Source organism: Homo sapiens, chromosome 2, assembly GCF_000001405.40.
Source record: "Homo sapiens chromosome 2, GRCh38.p14 Primary Assembly".
In the NCBI taxonomy this organism is placed as follows: Eukaryota; Metazoa; Chordata; class Mammalia; order Primates; family Hominidae; genus Homo; species Homo sapiens.
Genome location: NC_000002.12, coordinates 9,781,425 through 9,799,815, shown reverse-complemented (window position 1 = coordinate 9,799,815; position 18,391 = coordinate 9,781,425). Strand labels below are relative to the sequence as shown.

Below are 18,391 nucleotides of genomic sequence, written 5' to 3'. Positions count from 1 at the left end.
AGCACCTCTAGAGGGGAAACTAGGAGCAAGTCAGTTCACCACCCACTGTGTGCAAGACACTGAGCTGGAGACCTAGGGAGGAGGGAACACAGCCCCGTTTCTGAGAGTGCAAAGTTTAGGGGACAAGACAGACAGGCAAACAGACCACGGCAACACAATGAGATAGGGACTTGGCTGGGGGAAGCTCAGGTTGTTTTAAACCTAAAACAAGCAGCCCCCAAATCTATGAGGAAGAGCCTGCCTAGCAGAAGGTCCCACCATGCCCAGGAACATTTGGGCAGCACCTGCTCTGAGGGCTCTGGGCTGCCTGGCTGGGGTGGGACAGACCCAGAGTCCTTTCTGATCTGTCTGCAGCGAGAGCCCTGGAGCCAGAGGGGACCCGAGGAGGTTTGCAGGCTGTGGTCTGGGCAGGAAGGAAGGGCTGAGGTCCCCACCCTTCTTCTCCCTTTCTTAACCTAGTGCAGACCCAGCTGAAGCCAGCCTCACAGGGTTAACAAGAACTGCGGACAGTCATATAGCTATAATTAAGCATTCATCAGGCTGTACTTTGACCCACTTCCTTGTAACCAAAAGTCACGTAGCCCTAGGTACGGACAGTTCACATCCCCATGGTTCCTATTGATAGGATCTCTGACCTTAGAATCATAGGAATTTTGTTTAAGAATTGCTTAAGCAGATCCTGAATTCCATCAGAACAGCTGATGCCAACCAGCTCGAAGACCCCCACAGAGGAACGGAATCCGCGTGACAGTGAGGTTTCTTCATCTCCTTGTCCCGTGACTGCACTCTTCGACCAATCAAGGACCTCCACACTTTGACCCACTTCAAAACCCTTAAAAATTCGAGCCCCGAACTCCCTGGGGAGATGATGGATTGGGGGTTTCCTCCCATCTCCTCACTTGGTGGCCCTGCATTGATTAGACCTCTCTCTCTGCTGCAATGCGGCATCTTGCATATTGACTTCCTGCACGGGTCAGGCCATGAACCTATTACGGTTCCAGAGCTTCAGGCTGGAGAGGCAGAGTGACAAGAGGGTTCAGTAGAAGGCTGGGAGCCAGACTGCCTGGGGTCTTAACAGCAATTGCGTCCTCTGGGCTTCAGTTTTCTCTTGTGTGAAAAGGTAATAAGAACAGTGCCCACCTCTGAGGGTCGCCCTGAGGGTTAAACACACTGATACAGAGAAAGTGGGCAGAATGGTGTTTGGCCCATGGTCAGGGCTGATCATATCTGCTCTTGCCAATAATGCCAACTCACCAGCATCCAGCCCTCCTTTCTTTGGAAGAGTTTCCCATCTCACTCTCATGGCAGATAGTACCACCCAGAGTAGGTGCAGAGGCCCAGAGAGAGGAGGTGTCTCACGTGAGGTCACTGGGCGAGCAGCAACTGTGTTGAGCCTGGCACCCAGGCCTCTGGGCCTAGAGGTTGCAGCCTGGATTCCCAGCCCCCTTGTGTACCTTCTGGGCATCCCTGACTTCCGAGTCCCTGAACTGCCCTCCTCAGTGAGGAGTCTACTTTGCTACTTATTAACAGACTCTCTCACAGGACTGCTGGGCAGGTGCAGCCAGTTTCAGAGTCGCAGCATCCATAGCATTTGCTGAAGCATTGGCTACAGGCAACACCTGTATTGCATTTGTCTTCCTGGAAGATAATGAGCTCTAAAGCTTCACTGTGAAAAGTGTGGTCCCTGAGCCAGCAGCATTGGCCTCACCTGGGAGCTGGTTAGAACTGCACAATCATAGGCCCCTCCCAGACCTACAGAACTGGAATCTGCAGTTTAATGAGAGCCCCAGGCAGTATGTGTGCACCTTACCGATTGCCAGGGAAGGGTGTCTTAAGCAAATGGACTAAAGTGGGAGAATGAACTGTAGATGTGTCCACCGAGCCTGCCCTGGGCAGCACATGTGCCGGCACCCGTGCCAGGGTCTGGGAATTCTTGGGGGAGTCGGCCGAGGTCAGCGCCTTCAGGGAGTCCCCAGCTCCTGCTGTTAGCAGGTCTTCACGCGACCGCACATGCTGGCCAGACAGTGCTGGGAGGGAAGGAATAAAGGCCACGGGGGCCTGTCTGCTCGGAAGAGTCAGAATCTGGGCTGAAACTTGAGGGAAGAACCGGATAGGCCAGGCAGACGTGGGGGAGGGCCTTCCAGAAAGGGGACTCCCTGTACCAATTCCTGAGCTGGGTGTTTTCAGAGAAATGGGTACTTTGCAGACCTTACCCTAATACTTCCAGGTGCTGAGGCAAGAGTAGAATTGGAGGCCCACCTACTCTAAGTCTAAATATCTGCAAGTCATATAGCTGACAAACTATTAAATAAAATGTGTTCCAGCCTCTTATAAATATGCCTTCACAAGGATCTGGAAGGCCAGCTTTAAATTTAGTATTTTTGGACTCCTGGGAGTTCGGCACTACAACACAATGGTGTGGGGTGGGCCAGCCCCACCTGCCCCCTTCTGCTCTGTACCCTAAGTATGCACACATTCATGCATACATGCTGTGTCCCAGCCTGCCATCGTCCACATCCCCTTGTCCCACGAACAGCTGCCCCATGGGATATGCAAACCAGGTCAGCCTCAGGAGGGCAGACCCTGGGAAGAAGTTCAAGAAGGCCCTGGAAATGTGGGGAGGAGCATGGGCTCTGGGAGGGCACACCCCTTGACCTCATGAGAGGACCCCAGCTGAAGGGGCTCTGTGACGCTTAAAGTATGACACACCCTCAATTTTAAGACACATTTCAGAGACACATGTACTATATTTGCTGTCCAAAAGCCTTCTGGTTCTCTGACCATAAGAATTTGTTTAAACCTAATGTTTCATTGAATCTCTACATCAATTTGGGAATTATTAATAATAGGAACAATTTAAAATCTTCCCCATGTTGAATCTTGCAATCCATACACATAGGACGTCTTTCTGTTTATTTAGTTCTTTAATTTCTTTCAGTGAGGTTTTGTAATTTCCACGTAAAAGCCTTGCATCGTTTTGCTAAGCATTTTTATATTTGTTCCCCCTTTTACATCTTGAAAACCCTCTGTGAAGGCAGCATGGCGGTCATTATTAACCACACTGTGTAGAAGGTCAGAGAGGTTAAGAAACCTCAATTAGCAAGGGGCAATGCTGGGACTGGAGCTCTCATCCTCAGCCCCCTGGCAGAACCGGGCCTGGCCTTGCTCTGGTGAGGGTGACTTGTTCTAGCCCCTGCTATGTGTGTCCCTCTCCACCAGGACGACTGCTGAGCAGGTCCCAGCCTCCCTTCCCCCACTGACTGGAGAGAGGGGCTGGATGCTCGGGGGGTCCTCCAGGCAGGAGCAGGCAAGGGAGGGGAGCCTCTGGTTGTAACCAGGGATTCTCAGCCTTGGCTTTAATGGAAATCACCTGAGCGCTTTAAAAACTACCAGTGTCCAGACTCCACCTCAGACCAATTCAAGTCAACCTCCTACAGCCAGGGCCAGGGAACCTGTGATGATCCAAGTTGTTTAGCTGAGTGAGCAGCCAGGCTGGGAACCACAGGTGAGATGTGGGAGTTGGCTCAGTCAGTCCTGACCCATCCACGCCACCGGAGCAAGCGTTGAGGAAGGCAGGGCAGCCTGGGAGGGGAGTTCAGGTTTTATCTATTTAGAGTGTAGGTCTCTGTTGCTCAGGCTGGAGGGCAGTGGCTCAGTCATGGCTCACTGCAGCCTCAAGCTCCTGGGCTCAGGCAATCCTCCTGCCTCAACCTCTCAAGTAGCTGGGGGGACCACAAGCACGCGCTACCACTCCTGGCTAATTTTATTTTTCGTTTTTGTAGAGACAGGGTCTTGCTATGTTTCCCAGGTTGGTCTCAAACTCCTGGCCTCAAGTGATGCTCCCGCCTTGGCCTCCCAAAGCACTGGGATTACAGGCATGAGCCACTGTGCCCAGCCCAGAGCCCGGACTTTAGGCTTACACTCCAGGCTGCAGTCCCAGGTGTGAATCTCCAGGTGTGAGTCCCAGGTAAGTTCTGTGACCTTGGCTACTTCATGTCTCTGAGCCTCAACCTACCTATCTGTAAGACAGAGACAATAACACCTGCCTTGAGAGGTGGGGTCTGGTCCTCCGAGCCTAGGCTGGCCTGTGTAGGGTACAGCAAGGTGACTGTGCCAGCCTAGACTGGGCCTGGACTTTACAAGGATTGGTGGTTTCCACCTTGGTCTCTTGAAGCCAAGTTCAACCCTCAGGTGTGGAGAGGCCCTGAGAGTCCATGGAGAGGGACAAGGACCCAGTCACTTCCTCGTCCTGCTGAGCAGCCAGCATGAGGGCAGCTGTCTGAGACCTTCCAGGCCAGCCCCTCCGCCAGCTGCACACCACTTAGTGACCCCAGTCAATGCCACAAGGAGCAGAAAATTGCTCAGTCCAGCCCCACTGAATTCCTAACCCACAACATTGTGAGACTGAATAAAACGGGGCCGTGTGTTACGTGACTGGAGGGAACTGTGACATCTGTGATTGAGTCACCTTCACATCTCATACATCAGAAACCAAAGACAGGTGTGTTGACCTTTGTCCTCTGGGCACTTGCAGGCTCCCCTCCTGCCCGATGGGATGCGCCAGGGTTGTGTCCCCAACTCTGCAGCTGGCTGTTGTGGCCACAGCTGTTCAGATAGGCACCCCGGGCCCAGCTCCACTTCTGGCAAGTCTCTCCTCATTGTTCTGGGTTCATCCTGTCTGTTAGTGGGGAAGGCCTGTCCACCTTAATATTACAGAGGCTGACTGCATGGTGGGCACTGAGCTAGGCCCAGGGCACTGGGGGGCCACAGCTTGGAGAAAAACAGATGCAAACCCTCCCCCTAGAGCTTGTAACCGTGTGAGACGGACTGACGTTAAACAGGTAAAATGTAAGTACAGATGGACGCCAAAGAAGACAACAACACACTGGGGCCTTCTCGAGGGTGGAGGGAGGGAGGGAGGGCGGCGAGAAAGAAAAAACCACCTACTGTGCTTATTACCTGGGTGGCAAAATAATCCATACACCAAGCCCCCATGACACGCAATTTGCCTATATAACAAACCTGAACATGTACTCCTAAACCTAAAATACAAGTTTTTTAAGAAGTGGACAAAATGCAAATAACGCCACCATTGGCAGCTCTGAGAAGGTTGTGAAGGAAGGGCGATCTGGGGCTGAGTCTCACGGGGGCCTCGACCTGCTGCCCCAGGGGTGAGGGTGTCAGGGTGGGCTGGGCTGAGCTGAGAAAGGGGAACAGGGTTACTGGGTAGAGGGCAGAGAGTGTCCTAGGCCAGGGGAAGAGGGAGCTCAAAAGCAGTGAGGGATGGAGGAAGATGGGTGACCGGTCCAACACACACAGAGGGGAGATCAGAGATGGGGGAGAGGGTGGCAGGCAGAGCGGGAGGCCCTGCAGTGCGGTGGGCAGGGGGTGCCCTGGTGAGGGCTTGGGCCTTGGGCTTAAGGACAACAAGAAGCCATTGAAGAGCTTTAGGCCGGGGCGACCACGGCAGGTCTGTGCTCCTGACTGTCCTCTGGGTGGTCAAGGTCAAATCAGAAGGTAGATGAGAAATTGCTTTGAAAAGTACAAAATGGAATACAAATATAAGGTGCGAGTGGTATGAGGGACAGATGTCAGTGAAGGGCACGGGCTGGGAGTCCGGGGAGCTGGTTCTCCACTTAGATGCACCCCACCCCTCCCTGTGGACCTCAGCATTCCCATCTGTGGAGTGGGCGTGGCTCCAGCTCAGAAGCGCCTCACCTGGACCAGGTCTCCATGTTGGCTGCACCTGACCTCACATCCCCAGCTGCGAATAGGCTGCTTACCTGACTGCCTGTGAGGAGAGTGAGGCTGAGGGGCAGCAACTTACCCGAGCAGAGGGAGCAGGCTCAGCCCCTCACTATTTCCTGGCTCAGAAGGAGGAACAGGCAACACGCAGGGCCACAGACTTGGCCGCACTGCTGGGCTTGAGCCTGGCTCTGCCACTCCCGAGCTGTGGCACTTTGGGCTGGTTAATTAACATCTCCGTGCGTATGCGTCCTCTTTTGTGCCATGATGACAATGGTGCCTGTGTCAGTCTGTTCTCACACTGCTATAAAGAAATACCCGAGACCAGTCAAGGAAAGAGGTTTAATTGACTCACAGTTCTGCATGGCTGGGGAGGCCTCAGGAAACTTAGAATCATGGTGGAAGGAGGAGCCAACACCTTCTTCACAGGGCGGCAGGAGAGAGAGAGAGTGAGCAAAAGCAGGGAAAACTGCCCTATAAAACCATCAGGTCTCATGAGAACTCACTTGCTATCAGGAGAACAGCAGGGGGAAACTGTCCCCATGATCCAGTCACCCCCCACCCTCCCCACGTGGGGATTACAATTCAAGATGAGATTTGGGTGGGGACATAGAGCCAAGGAAGGTCAGTGCCCACCTCACAGGGCTGATGCAGAGTTTAACTGAGAGCAGCAGCTGGCACCTAGGAAGCCCCGCGTGTGCTGTTTGTCCCTTAGCCTCAGGGGGCAGGGAGGCCTTCCCCTCATGGAGAGCATGAGTCCTGTGGGGGCCCCGAGCTCTGTCCGGATGCAGCAGCTGCAGGTTATTTATTTTTGAGACAGTCTCCTCTGTCACCCAGGCTGAAGCGCAGTGGCACCATCTCAGCTCACTGCAGCCTCTGCCTCCCAGTTCAAGCAATTCTCCTGCCTCAGCCTCCTGAGTAGCTGGGACTACAGGTGCGTGCCACCACACCTGGCTAATTTTTTCTATTTTTAGTGGAGATGGGGTTTCACTGTTTGCCAGGATGGTCTCGATCTCCTGACCTCGTGATCTGCCCGCCTTGGCCTCCCAAAGTGCTGGGATTACAGGCGTGAGCCACCGCGCCCGGCCACTGCAGGTTATTTTTAACTGAGGAGGCTCTGCCAGCCCTTGCTGTGAGGTTATTTTGAGCACAGCTGCGGCTGTGCTGGGCTGTCCGGATGTTTTTGAGGAGGAAGCAGGTCCGCAGTGCGGAAGAGCCTGGGAAACCCCCTATGTCCAGAGGGTCCCCCCTTCTCCACTCTGGAAACAACAAAGCCATCTGAGGGTGGTCAAGGCGAGGCAGGATTTCCCCTTTTGGGGAGGGGCCCTCACTTCCCCCAAGGGCTTGTATATCCCGAAGCCAGGTTCGCAGGTCTGGCTGGGGGCTGGTTAGGCAGCGGAAGATCATCTTCCATGGGAATCCCAGGGCACTGTGTCCCCACCACCTTTTATTTTATTTTTTTTGCCACAGAGTCTCGCTCTGTCACCCAGGCTGGAGTGCAGTGGCACAATCTCGGTTCACTGCAACCTCTGCCTCCTGGGTTCAAGCGATTCTCTTGCCTCAGCCTCCTGTGTAGCTAGGACTACAGGTGTGTGCCACCACACTCAACTAATTTTTGTATTTTTATTAGAGATGGGTTTCACCATGTTGGTCAGGCTGGTCTCGAACTCCTGACCCCAAGTGATCCACCCACCACGACCTCCCAAAGTGTTGGGATTACAGGCATGAGCCACTGTGCCTGGGCTGTCCCTACCTTCTTTAGGTGTCACTCAGATGCCTGGACCCTGGAAACCTGGGTTGTGTCCACTCAGCCCTCCTAGCTCCACGGCTGGAGAAGGCTCAAAGTCTTGCCCAAGTTTGCCGAGTTCCCAGGACCGCTGCAGCCTCTGGGCTCTGTTCCCTCAGGAATTCTGCCCAGGTGTAAATCTCAGCCCCTCTCAGTGCTTCTCTCCTGACAAGAAGACCTCCCTGGGCAGCACTGACCACCTCCACACTGTGCAGTGGGCACAGCTGCCCAGTACTGAGGGCTCTTCCCCACCGCCCAGCCTTCTCCATCATCCCGTGCTCTGTCTCCCCCTGTTACCCTCCTCCCCCATCTCAGGGGCCTCCTCTACCCCTGCCCTGCTTAGGAACAAAAATAGCAGATTGTCCCCTTGGTCTTATGCAGAACAGCCCCCACCGTCCTGGAGGCCCAGAGCCTTGACCTGTCACCCACACCAGGCGCCACTCACAGTATTTTCTGGACAAAGACACTCCTCTCTCCCTTGCCAAGAAGAATTCTGGTGCCAGTTGCTAAAGAGATGTTTTTAAAAAATCCTTCTCACCTTGTTATATAAGTACTTGGATTTAACCTTTGTATATATTTAGTCCTTTGACTTCTCATCCTATTTGGGAGACTGCATTTGGAGACAACAAAACATAAGATAAGGGCTGTTCTCTGATTTTTGGCTGCTGTTGCCAAAATGTCCCTCTCCACCTCTCTTCATGCATTTTTTTTTTTGAGACAATCTCACCCTGTCACCCAGGCTGAAGTGCAGTGGTGCCATTTCTGCTCAATGCAACATCCATCTCCCAGGTTCAAGTGATCCTCCTGCCTCAGCCTCCTGAGTAGCTGGGAGGCGCCTGCCACCATGCCCAGCTAAATTTTGTATTTTTCTTAGTAGAGATGGAGTTTCACCATGTTGGCAAGGCTGGTCTTGAACTCCTGACCTCAAGTAATCCTCCTCGGCCTCCCAAAGTGGAGGATCACAGGCATGAGCCACCGCACCTGGCCAAAGGTGACATCTTAGACCTTACAGTGTAGAATCTGAGCACCTTAGAGTCTTAGAGATGACCTGGTCTGATGTTTGATTGATTGATTGATTTTTTTTTATTGTGGCAAAATGTATGTGTGTGTGTATATATATATACGTGTATCTATACACGTATATATATATGTATACATACATGTATATATATATACACACACACATATACATATATATACACACACACACACAGGATTTACCAGTTTAACCATGTTTACAAGTGTCCTGTTCAGTGGTGACTGATTTTTGTCGCTGAGTAAACATTTGTTCAGATGAAATCTTGAGCAGAAGCCTGATATAAAACTGATCACCATACTGCCAGCCCTGGAACCACAGCCTGAGCAAAGGCCAGCTCTTCCACCAGAGGCCAGGAGCAGGGCTGCGGAGTGCAGGTGCAGGGAGCGGGGGCTACGGCAGTGTGGCCTGTCCTCGCTGCAGCCTCATCTGGCTTCCAAGACCTCTTGGCTCCCCATCAGGCATTTGGTCCCCTCATTCTTCCCCTCTAGGACAGTCCCTGATATCCCAAGGGACCTGTGTCCTGCTTCCAGGTGCCTATCCGGTCCCCCAGACCCAAGGGGAAATCACTGCAGATGGGCAGGTGATGGGCAAGGGGGCTCTGAGCTGAGCCCGCCAGACAGGCCTAGAGAGGGAGATGTTGTTTAAAGAAATAAGAGGTGGGCCGGGCTCACACCTGTAATCCCAGCACTTTGGGAGGCCGAGGTAGGTGGAACACTTGAGGTCAGGAGTTGGAGATCAGCCTGGTCAATAAGGCAAAACACCGTCTCTACTAAAAACACAAAAATTAGCTGGGGTGTGGTGGTGCGTGCCTGTAATCCCAGCTACTTGGGAGGCTGAGGCACAAGAATCGCTGGAACCCGGGAGGTGGAAGTTGCAGTGAGCTGAGATCATGCCACTGCACTCCAACCTGGGTGACAGTGTGAGACTCTGTCTCAAAAAAAAAAAAAAAAAAAAAGACAAATACGAGATGACAAGTTCAGTGGAAAGAAGTCCCCACTGCTGGGACAGCCACTCCACAGAGCACACTTCTGAAGACTTGGCGCCCTTGTGGACCCCAGGCAACCGGGGAAACTGCATGCCCAAAACCTGGTGGGGTCTGGTTGTGGTTACACCCAGGAGAATTTCCTCTCCCCTTCAGGAATGCTTAGATTGAATGGGGACAAAGCAGCTCCACTGAACATCCATAAAACCTTGAGACATGGCCTGTTCCATGGTTCTCCCTATTTCTCATGAGTGAAAAGTAGGCCTTCTGTGAGGCCCTTTGGTCCTCTGCCCCTGCCCAGCAGATAAGCAGACACAAATGAGGGAGGGGCCTTCAGGAACAAGGACAGGGGGCAGAGAGAGAGGGGACTTTAAAGAGGGTCCTATGACCTTGTAGGCAGGCTGGGCCTGCAGGAGACAGCTAACATGAGAAGGAGGACCCTCACCTGGGGATGTGGCACTCAAGTCCCCTAGGCGGCCTCCGTGCCCTCCACATGCCCTCACGAGCTTTTGAGCACACAAGGGGTCCTGGCTGGGCCCTGCTTTGTTCCTTTAGGTTTCCTGGAGGCCCAGGAGGGCCTGAGCTGCCTCGGCCTTTCCCACTACCCCAGGGTGCTGGACATGGGATCACAGTCCATTTGAGCAGTGGCCAGAGTAAGCGACAAGAAGGCACGGGCTCATGGAGCCTGGCCTCCGCTCTCCAGCCCATGGCGGACTGCCCTGGTGGCTGGGCACTTGTTTGGGCTTCCATGTGGTCAGTTGTAGTCAATAGGACACTGGCAAACACGGGCAGAGCTGCGGGGCCCCTTGTTGCTGAGGAGGGCCTGCTGACGGCCAGTGTGTGTCCTTCCAGCTGGGCCTGGGGCTGCTGTGCCATGCTCTGCTGGCGTGGTCTGAAAGATGAGGCTCAGGGCTCTAGGTTTGCTTGGAAGATTCTGGTAAATGCTGCTATGATTGACTTTATGTAAAGACCAGACATACTTTAAAAAGGGAAAAAGAACTAGCCAAGAGACTTTCCGCCTGAGTCGAAGAGTCAAGTCAGGGAGCAGCTTGGAGCGATGCCACAGGTGGGGAGCCCACGATCCCCTGCCATGGAGGTCAGGCCCCTGAAGTTACAAACTCTTGGCAGCACTTGATAAACATGTGGCAGTTCTGCCTTTTCACTTGATGATGAGGGAGAACCTCTAGAAAAAAAATAGATAATGACCCCCAAACCTTCATTCCATGTGGTGACGTGGACTCACCTTGGTGCACAGACAGGACCCCTGAATGATGCATTGAAATCCCACAAATCCCAAGTGACTGATGCCAAACACATCCTGAAAGCATCTCCGAATAATATGGAATGACTTCTAAAGAAAATACCAATGGTTTGGTTAAAAACCTTCATCTTCACTCTTCTTCAGGAAAACCTGAAACTGCTGAATTAGTTCCTTTTGCATTGCTATGAAGGAATACCTGAGGCTGGGTAATTTATAAAGAAAAGAGTTTGGGAGGCCAAAGCAGGCGGATCATGAGGTCAGGAGTTTGAGACCAGCCTGGCCAACATGGTGAAACCCTGTCTCTACTGAAAAAAAAAAAAAAATTAGCCAAGCATGATGGCGGGCACCTGTAATCCCAGCTACTTGGGAGGCTGAGGCAGGAGAATTGCTTGAACTAGAAGGTGGAGGTTGCAGTAAGCTGAGATCTCACGACTGCACTCCAGCCTGGGTGACAGAGCAGGACTCTGTCAAAAAAAAAAAAAGAAAAGAGGTTTATTTGGCTCACAGTTCTGCAGGCTGAACAGGAAGCACAATGCCAGCATCTGCTGCTGGTGAGGCTTCAGGAAGCTTCCAGTCATAGTGGAAGGTGAAGAGGGAGCTAGTGTGTCACATGGCAAGAGCAGATGCAAGAGAGAGAGGGGAGAGGCCAGGCTCTTTTAAACAATGAGATCTGGTAGGAACTCATAGAGTGAGAACTCAGTAATTACTGCAAGGACAGCACCGAGCCATTCATAAGGGATCCGCCTCCAAGACCCAAACCCCTCCCTCCAGGCCCACCTTTAACACAGGGGATCACATTTCAACATGAGATTTGCAGGGAGGAAACATCCAGATCAGGCCGAGCACGGTGGCTCACACCTGTAATCCCAGTATTTTGGGAGGCCGAGGTGGGTGGATCCCCTGAGGTCGGGAGTTCAAGACCAGCCTGGCCAACATGGTGAAGCCCCGTCTCTACTAAAAACACAAAAAGTAGCCAGACGTGGTAGCTGGTGCCTGTAATCCCAGCTACTTGGGAGGCTGAGGCAGGAGAATCACTTGAACCCAGGAGGCAGAGGTTGCAGTGAGCCGAGATCAAGCCACTGCACTCCAGCCTGGGCAACAGAGCAAAACTCCATCTCAAAAAACAAACAACCCCAAAAAACATCCAGATCATACCAACTGTTCTCCCCAGCAACTACAGCACAGAAGGCGAGAGGACAGGAACGAAGGCATGAAGGCACGGAGAGAAGGCTTGGAAACCAGAACATACACATGGGACAGGATGCGGTGACAGAGAGCCCGTAGAGACCTCTGACTGAACGGTGCTGGAGATAAGCTGTCATGCTCGCTTTAGAGAAGATCGCAGCTTGGAATCAGACAGAAAGAGGGCATTGGAAAATGGAGACCAAGACAATCCGTCAGAAAATGATTTGAAGAAACGATCAATGCGGTTAGCTTAGACGATTCTTTAAGAAGGCTTGAGGGAGAAAAGCCAGATAAAAGCCACGTGAAGAAAATCAAACAAACGAAGCGCTTCCAGTTAAAATGAAGAGTCTGCAAACTGAGCCAGCATCTTTGCAGTCTGCAAGGCCACAGCTTGCAAGTGAGACTCAGAGGCTTTAGGCGAAACTCCCCAACCTGCCTGCCCTCCATAAGAACATCAGGAGAAACTCGCAGAAAAGTCATCGAAGAGGAAATTTACTGCTTAGAAATGGAGAAGACACTTTCCAGTGCGCCTGAAAGCGTCAGCCACACACCCGAGAAGCGCGACTCTGCAGAAAGATGCCCAAGACCTTGGGAAGAACCTGGAGGGAACCGCCTCCTCCTACGGAAACCACTCAAGAAAGGTGGCTGGAGGAGGCGGAGCTTGTAGTGAGCCGAGATCGCGCCGCTGCACTCCAGTCTGGGCGACAGAGCGACTCCGTCTCAAAAAAAAAAAAAAAAAAAAAAAAAAAAAAAAAAAAAAAAAAGGTGGCTGGCAGCTCTTTCCACGGAGAAAAAGCTCATTAAACTAAGAAATGAAAGTGACTGCAGTAGAGAGAAACTGGGGGAAGCGGAGTTTAAGTTCTAGCATTTCCCGAAGGGCCCTTTGTCCCTGCACGGCCCTGGATGACTGGGGACCTGGGCATCATCAGGTCCCCAGGGAGGAGGTGGGCCAAGCTGTGAGGGTTCTCAGACCCAGAGCCACATGCAGGCATAACTCAGCGTTCACAGCAGCTGGCCCCGCAGCAGAGGATGTTTGCCTGTTTTTTCCCTTTAAAAGTAATTTTGAGCTGGGTGCGGTGGTTCACGCCTGTAATCCCAGCACTTTGGAAGGCCGAGGTGGGCGGATCACCTGAGGTCAGGAGTTCAAGACCAGCCTGGTCAACATGGTGAAACTCCATCTCTACTAAAAATACAAAAATTAGCTGGGCGTGGTGGCGCATGCCTGTAATTCCAGCTACTTGGGAGGCCGAGGCACAAGAATCGCTTGAACCTGGGAGACGGAGGTTGCAGCGAGGCGAGATCACACCACGGCACTCCAGCCTGGGTGACAGAGCAAGACTCTGTCTCAAAAAAACAAAACTGTATTTCCTAAAATAGTGTTCTTTATATATTTGATAACTTTTTGAAAAAGAGATGAGGTCTCGCTCTGTCGCTAAGGCTGAAGTGCAGTGGTACCATCATAGCTCACTGTAACCTCAAACTTCTGGGCTCAAGAGAACCTCTCGCCTTAGCCCCCTGAGTAGCTGGAACTGCAGGCATGTGCCACCACACCCAGCTAACTTTTTTGTTTTTTGTAGATACAGGGTCTTGTTATGTTGCCCAGGCTGGTCTCGAACTCCTGTGCCCAAGGAATCCTTCTGTCTGCCTCAGAATCCCAAAGTGCTGGGATTACAGTCATGAGCCACTGCGCCTGGCCCATGTACTTGATGATTTTAATATAATCCTTGTAAATACATTTTTTTCATTGGCCCTCTGGAATGAAATAGTTAAGTATGGTAATTTGATTGAGACAAAAGATCCACTGTTGTACTTAATCTTAGCCAAAAGGCCGAGAAGTGATAAAAGGTCCTCTATGGCTTAAACCATAATTGAACTTTGACATGCCCAGATGGAGACAGGAGAAACCATAAAGAACATTTCTATATGCTATGCACTGTTATCAGAACTACATAAAACACCCTAATATTTACCTCAAAAGAGTTTTGCAAACCGTACCAAAAAAAAAAAACCCAAAAGATACTCCTAACTGAACCTATCAGTAGTTTTATTCATTTTTCAACAAATTCATAGGCTAAAGGAGTTAACATTTTCCTACCATTACTTTCTTGTTTTAAGTTTCTTTTTTAAAAATAAACATTATTCTGCTTATAGTATTCTTTGTCACTTAAATGCTTAAAAATTGTATACAATAGAAGAGTTCCCTAGAAAAAAAAAATAAATATCATTTTCAGGCCCACAGTGTCCGCTGAGGGTGCCATGGAGTCCTTCAAGGGCCTTTCCCCAGGTTTAATATAATCCTTCCAGTTGGAGAAACAGAGAAAAAGTAATTTTCTAAAGGAACACAGCAAATACAAGCATACCTTGGATATATTACAGGTTCAGTTCCAGACTACTGCACTAAAGCAAGTATCGTAAAGTAAGGCCCACGATGTTTTTGGTTTCCCAATGCATATAATAGTTATGTTTACAGTGTACCAGAGTCTATTAAGTGTACAAGAGTATTGATAGCATTGTGTCTAAAAAACCTAATGTACATTAATTTACACATATGTGGTTGGGCGCAATGGCTCATGCCTGTAATCCCAACATTTTGGGAGGCCGAGGTAGGCAGATCACTGAGGTCAGGAGATGGAGACTAGCCTGACCAACATGGTGAAACCCCATCTCTACTAAAAATACAAAAATTAGCCAGGTGTGGTGGTGTACGCCTGTAGTCCCAGCTACTTGGGAATGAATATTCCAGATCCTTTGTTGTCATTTCAACAATGTCCATGGTGTCTTCATCAGGGGGAGATTTTGTCTCAAGAAGCCACTTTCTCTGCTCATCCATAAGGAGCAACTCCTCATCCACTCAAGTTTTATCATGAGATCACTCACGGCTTCAGGCTCCACCTCTTATTCTAGTTCTCTCTCTTTTTTTCTTTTTCAACTTTTCTTTTAGATTTAGGGGCCACGTGTGCAGGTTTGTTACTTGGGTACTTTGCATGATGCTGAGGTCTGGGGCATGACTGATCCCGTCACCTGGGCACTGAGCATAATACCCAACATTTTTCAACACTTGTCCCCTTCCCTCTTTCCCCCGTCTAGTAGTTCCCAGTATCCATTAGTACTTTTATGTCCATGAGTACCCGATAATTAGTTCCCACTTGTAAGTGAGAACATGCAGTATGTGGTTTTTGTTCCCACATTTATTTGCTTAGAATCTAGTTCTCTTGCTGTTTCCACCACATGAAGCAGTTACTTCATCCACTGAGCCCCTCAAAGTCATCCACAAGGGGAGGAATTAACTTTTTCCAAACTCTTGTTCATGTTGATATTTTGACCTCCTCCAATAAATCATGAATGTTCCTAATAGCATCTAGAATGGTGAATCCTTTCCAGAAAGTTTCCAGTATATTTTGCCCAGATCCATCAGAGGATTTACTATCTATGGCAGCTATGACAGCTATAGCCTTATGAAAAGGATTTCTTAACTAATTCCACTTGAAAGTTGAAATTACTCCTTGATCTTGGGCTGCAGAATGGATGTTGTGTTAGCAGATATGAAAACAACACTAATTTCCCGTACATCTCCATCAAACCTCTTGGTGTATCTCCATCAAAGACTAGGTACATTGTCAATGAACAGTAATGTTTTGAAAGGAATCTTTTTTTCTGAGCAGTAGGTCTTAAGAGTGGGCTTAAAATAGTCAATAAACGATGCTGTAAACAGAGGTGCTGTCATCCAGGCTTGAGTGTTTCATTCACAGAGCACAGACAGAGTAGATTCAGCATAATTCTTAATGACCCTAGCATTTTTGGGATGGTAAACAAACATTGGTTTCAACTTAAAGTTACCAGCTGCATTATCCCCTAACAAGGCAGGCAGCCTGTCCTCCAGAGTTTTGCAGCCAGGCATTGACTTGTCCTTTTTAGCTATGAAAGTCCTAGATGGTATCTTCTTCTAATAGAAGGCTGTTTCATTTACATTGAAAACCTGTTGTTTGGTGGAGCCCCCTTCATCAAGGATGGTAGCTGGATCTTCTGGATGACTTGCTATAGCTTCTTCACCAGCACTTGCGGCTTCACTGTGCACTTTTATGTTCTGGCTTCTTTCCTTCAACCTTGATAGGGTTTGGATTTGTGTCCCTACCCAAATCTCATGTCGAATTGGAGGAGGGGCCTGGTGGGAGGTGATTGGATCATGGGGAAAGATTTTCCCCCTCCTGTTCTCTTGATAGTGAGTGAGTTCTCATGAGATCTGATGGTTTAAAAGTGTGTGGCACTTCCCCCCGGCTCTGTCTCTCCTGCCAACATGTGAAGAAGGCCCTTGCTTCCCGTTCGCCTTCTGCCATGATTGTCAGTTTCCTGAGGCCTCCTGATCATGCTCCCTGTTAATCCTGTGGAACTGTGAGTCAATCAAACCTCTTTTCTTCATAAATTACCCAGTCTCAGGTAGTTGTTTACAGTAGTGTGAGAACGGACTAATACAAACCTTACGAACCAACCTCTACTAGCTTCAAGCTCTTCTTCTGCAGCTTCCTCACCCCTCTCAGCCTTCATAGAGAGTTAGGTCCTTGCTCTGGATTAGGCTGTGGCTTCAGGGAAGGTTGTGGCTGGTTTGAGCTTCTATCCAGGCTACTAAAACTTTCTCCCTTTTGGCAATAAGTCTGCTTTGCTTTCTTATTATCCATATGTTCACTGGAGTAGCACTTTTAATTTCCTTCAAGAACTTCTTTTTCTCTGCCTTCACAACTGGGCTGTTTGGCACAAGAGGCCAGGCTTTCAGCCTTTCTCAGCTTTCAGTGTGCCTTCCTCACTAGCTTCATCATGTCTAGCTGTTGAAGTAAAGTGAGAGACTGACTTTTCACTTGAACACTCAGAGGCCATTGTAAGGTTGTTAATTTGCCTAATTTCAATATTTGTTGTGTCTCAGGGAATAAGGAGAACCAGGGAGAGGGAGAAAGAGAAGAAGTGAGAGAGAGAGAGATGGGGGAATGGCTGGTCAGTGGAGCAGTGAGAACATATGCCATTCATTAATCAAATTCACCATCTTATATGGGCACGATTCATGGTGCCCCAAAACAATTACAGTAGTAACATCAAATAACACCAAAGGTTGCTGATCACAGGTCAACAGAGCAGATATAATAATAAGGAAAAAGTTTGAAATATTGCGAGAATTACCAAAAGGTGGCGTGAGACACAGGGTTAGCAGGTGCTGTTGGAAGGATGGTGCCGATAGGCCTGCTTGACACAGCATTGCCACAAACCTTCAATTTGTAAAAACTGCACAGTATCTGAGGTCCAATAGAGTAAGCAGTGCCTGCAATCACGGCACAGACATGAGAACCCAGGCTTCTTTTTCCCAGCCCAGCAAGGGTGGCTTTGCGCTGTGAGTTTCCTGAGAAGAAGGCTTCTCTGCTCCTATCTGTGATTCTAAGAAGATTTAATCAGCTTCCTGGTAATTTCCGAAGTGAGTAAGAAGAGCCTCTTGTTTCTACCTGTTTGCAGCCTGGCGTGCTGTTACCTTGGCAACAGCTGTCACCAGGAACCTCAGCTCCTTCTGGCATGTCACATCCTTTATTGCCGACATCAGTGTGCCTGGGTCAAGGGTAAAGTGGTGTGGGCCTCCCAGGTCCAGTGTGGGGGACCTTCCGCTAAGAACTGCTTATTTATAACCCACAGAAAATTTGCCCTAAAAACAGGACTTCCGTGCTCACCCAGATGATTTTCTTTTTATATTCTACAGGGGTTAGTAGAGAGGCTCTTGCCATTTGAAGAGGTTGCTTTTCTTTCTTACCAGTCAGTAGTAGCTTGAGATTTTAAAACTGAGTTGTTGGCCGGGTGAGGTGGCTCACGCCTGCAATCCCAGCACTTTGGGAGGCCGAGGCGGGCACATCACCTGAGGTCAGGAGACCAGCCTGGCCAACATGGTGAAACCCCGTCTCTACTAAAAATACAAAAATTAGCTGGGCGTGGTGGTGCGTGCCTGTAATCCCAGCTACTCCGGAGGCTGAGGCAGGAGAATCGCTTGAACCCGGGAGCTGGAGGTTGCAGTGAGCCGAGATCACTCCACTGCACTCCAGCCTGTGCAACAGAGTGAGACTCTGTCTCAAAAAAAAAAAAAAACAACAACAAAAACAAAAAAAAAAAACAAAAAACAGATGTTCAGATCCAGTGGGAAACCCACCCCACCTCATTATATGGACAAGGATAGTAAAACTCAGAGAGGAGAACTGACATGCTCAAAGTCCACGTAATGTATTGATGCAATGCAGGACTTGAACTTGGCTGAAGTCCTGGTTGCCTTTAGGGGTTGGCGTTACCGCAGGTTTGGCTTGATGACAGTAACATCACGTAGAAACCCTCATCGCAGTGGATGGGCACAGGCTTGCTTCTGGACTCTATTAG

General features: G+C 50.0%; 1 annotated feature.

Annotated features, from left to right (window-relative positions):
- Positions 6,780 to 6,969: an enhancer, noted in NCBI's record as "active region_15295". NCBI's record gives its function as "activates an Ori minimal core promoter by ATAC-STARR-seq in GM12878 lymphoblastoid cells {active_cell/tissue: GM12878}" and the evidence as "EXISTENCE:reporter gene assay evidence [ECO:0000049][PMID:35858748]".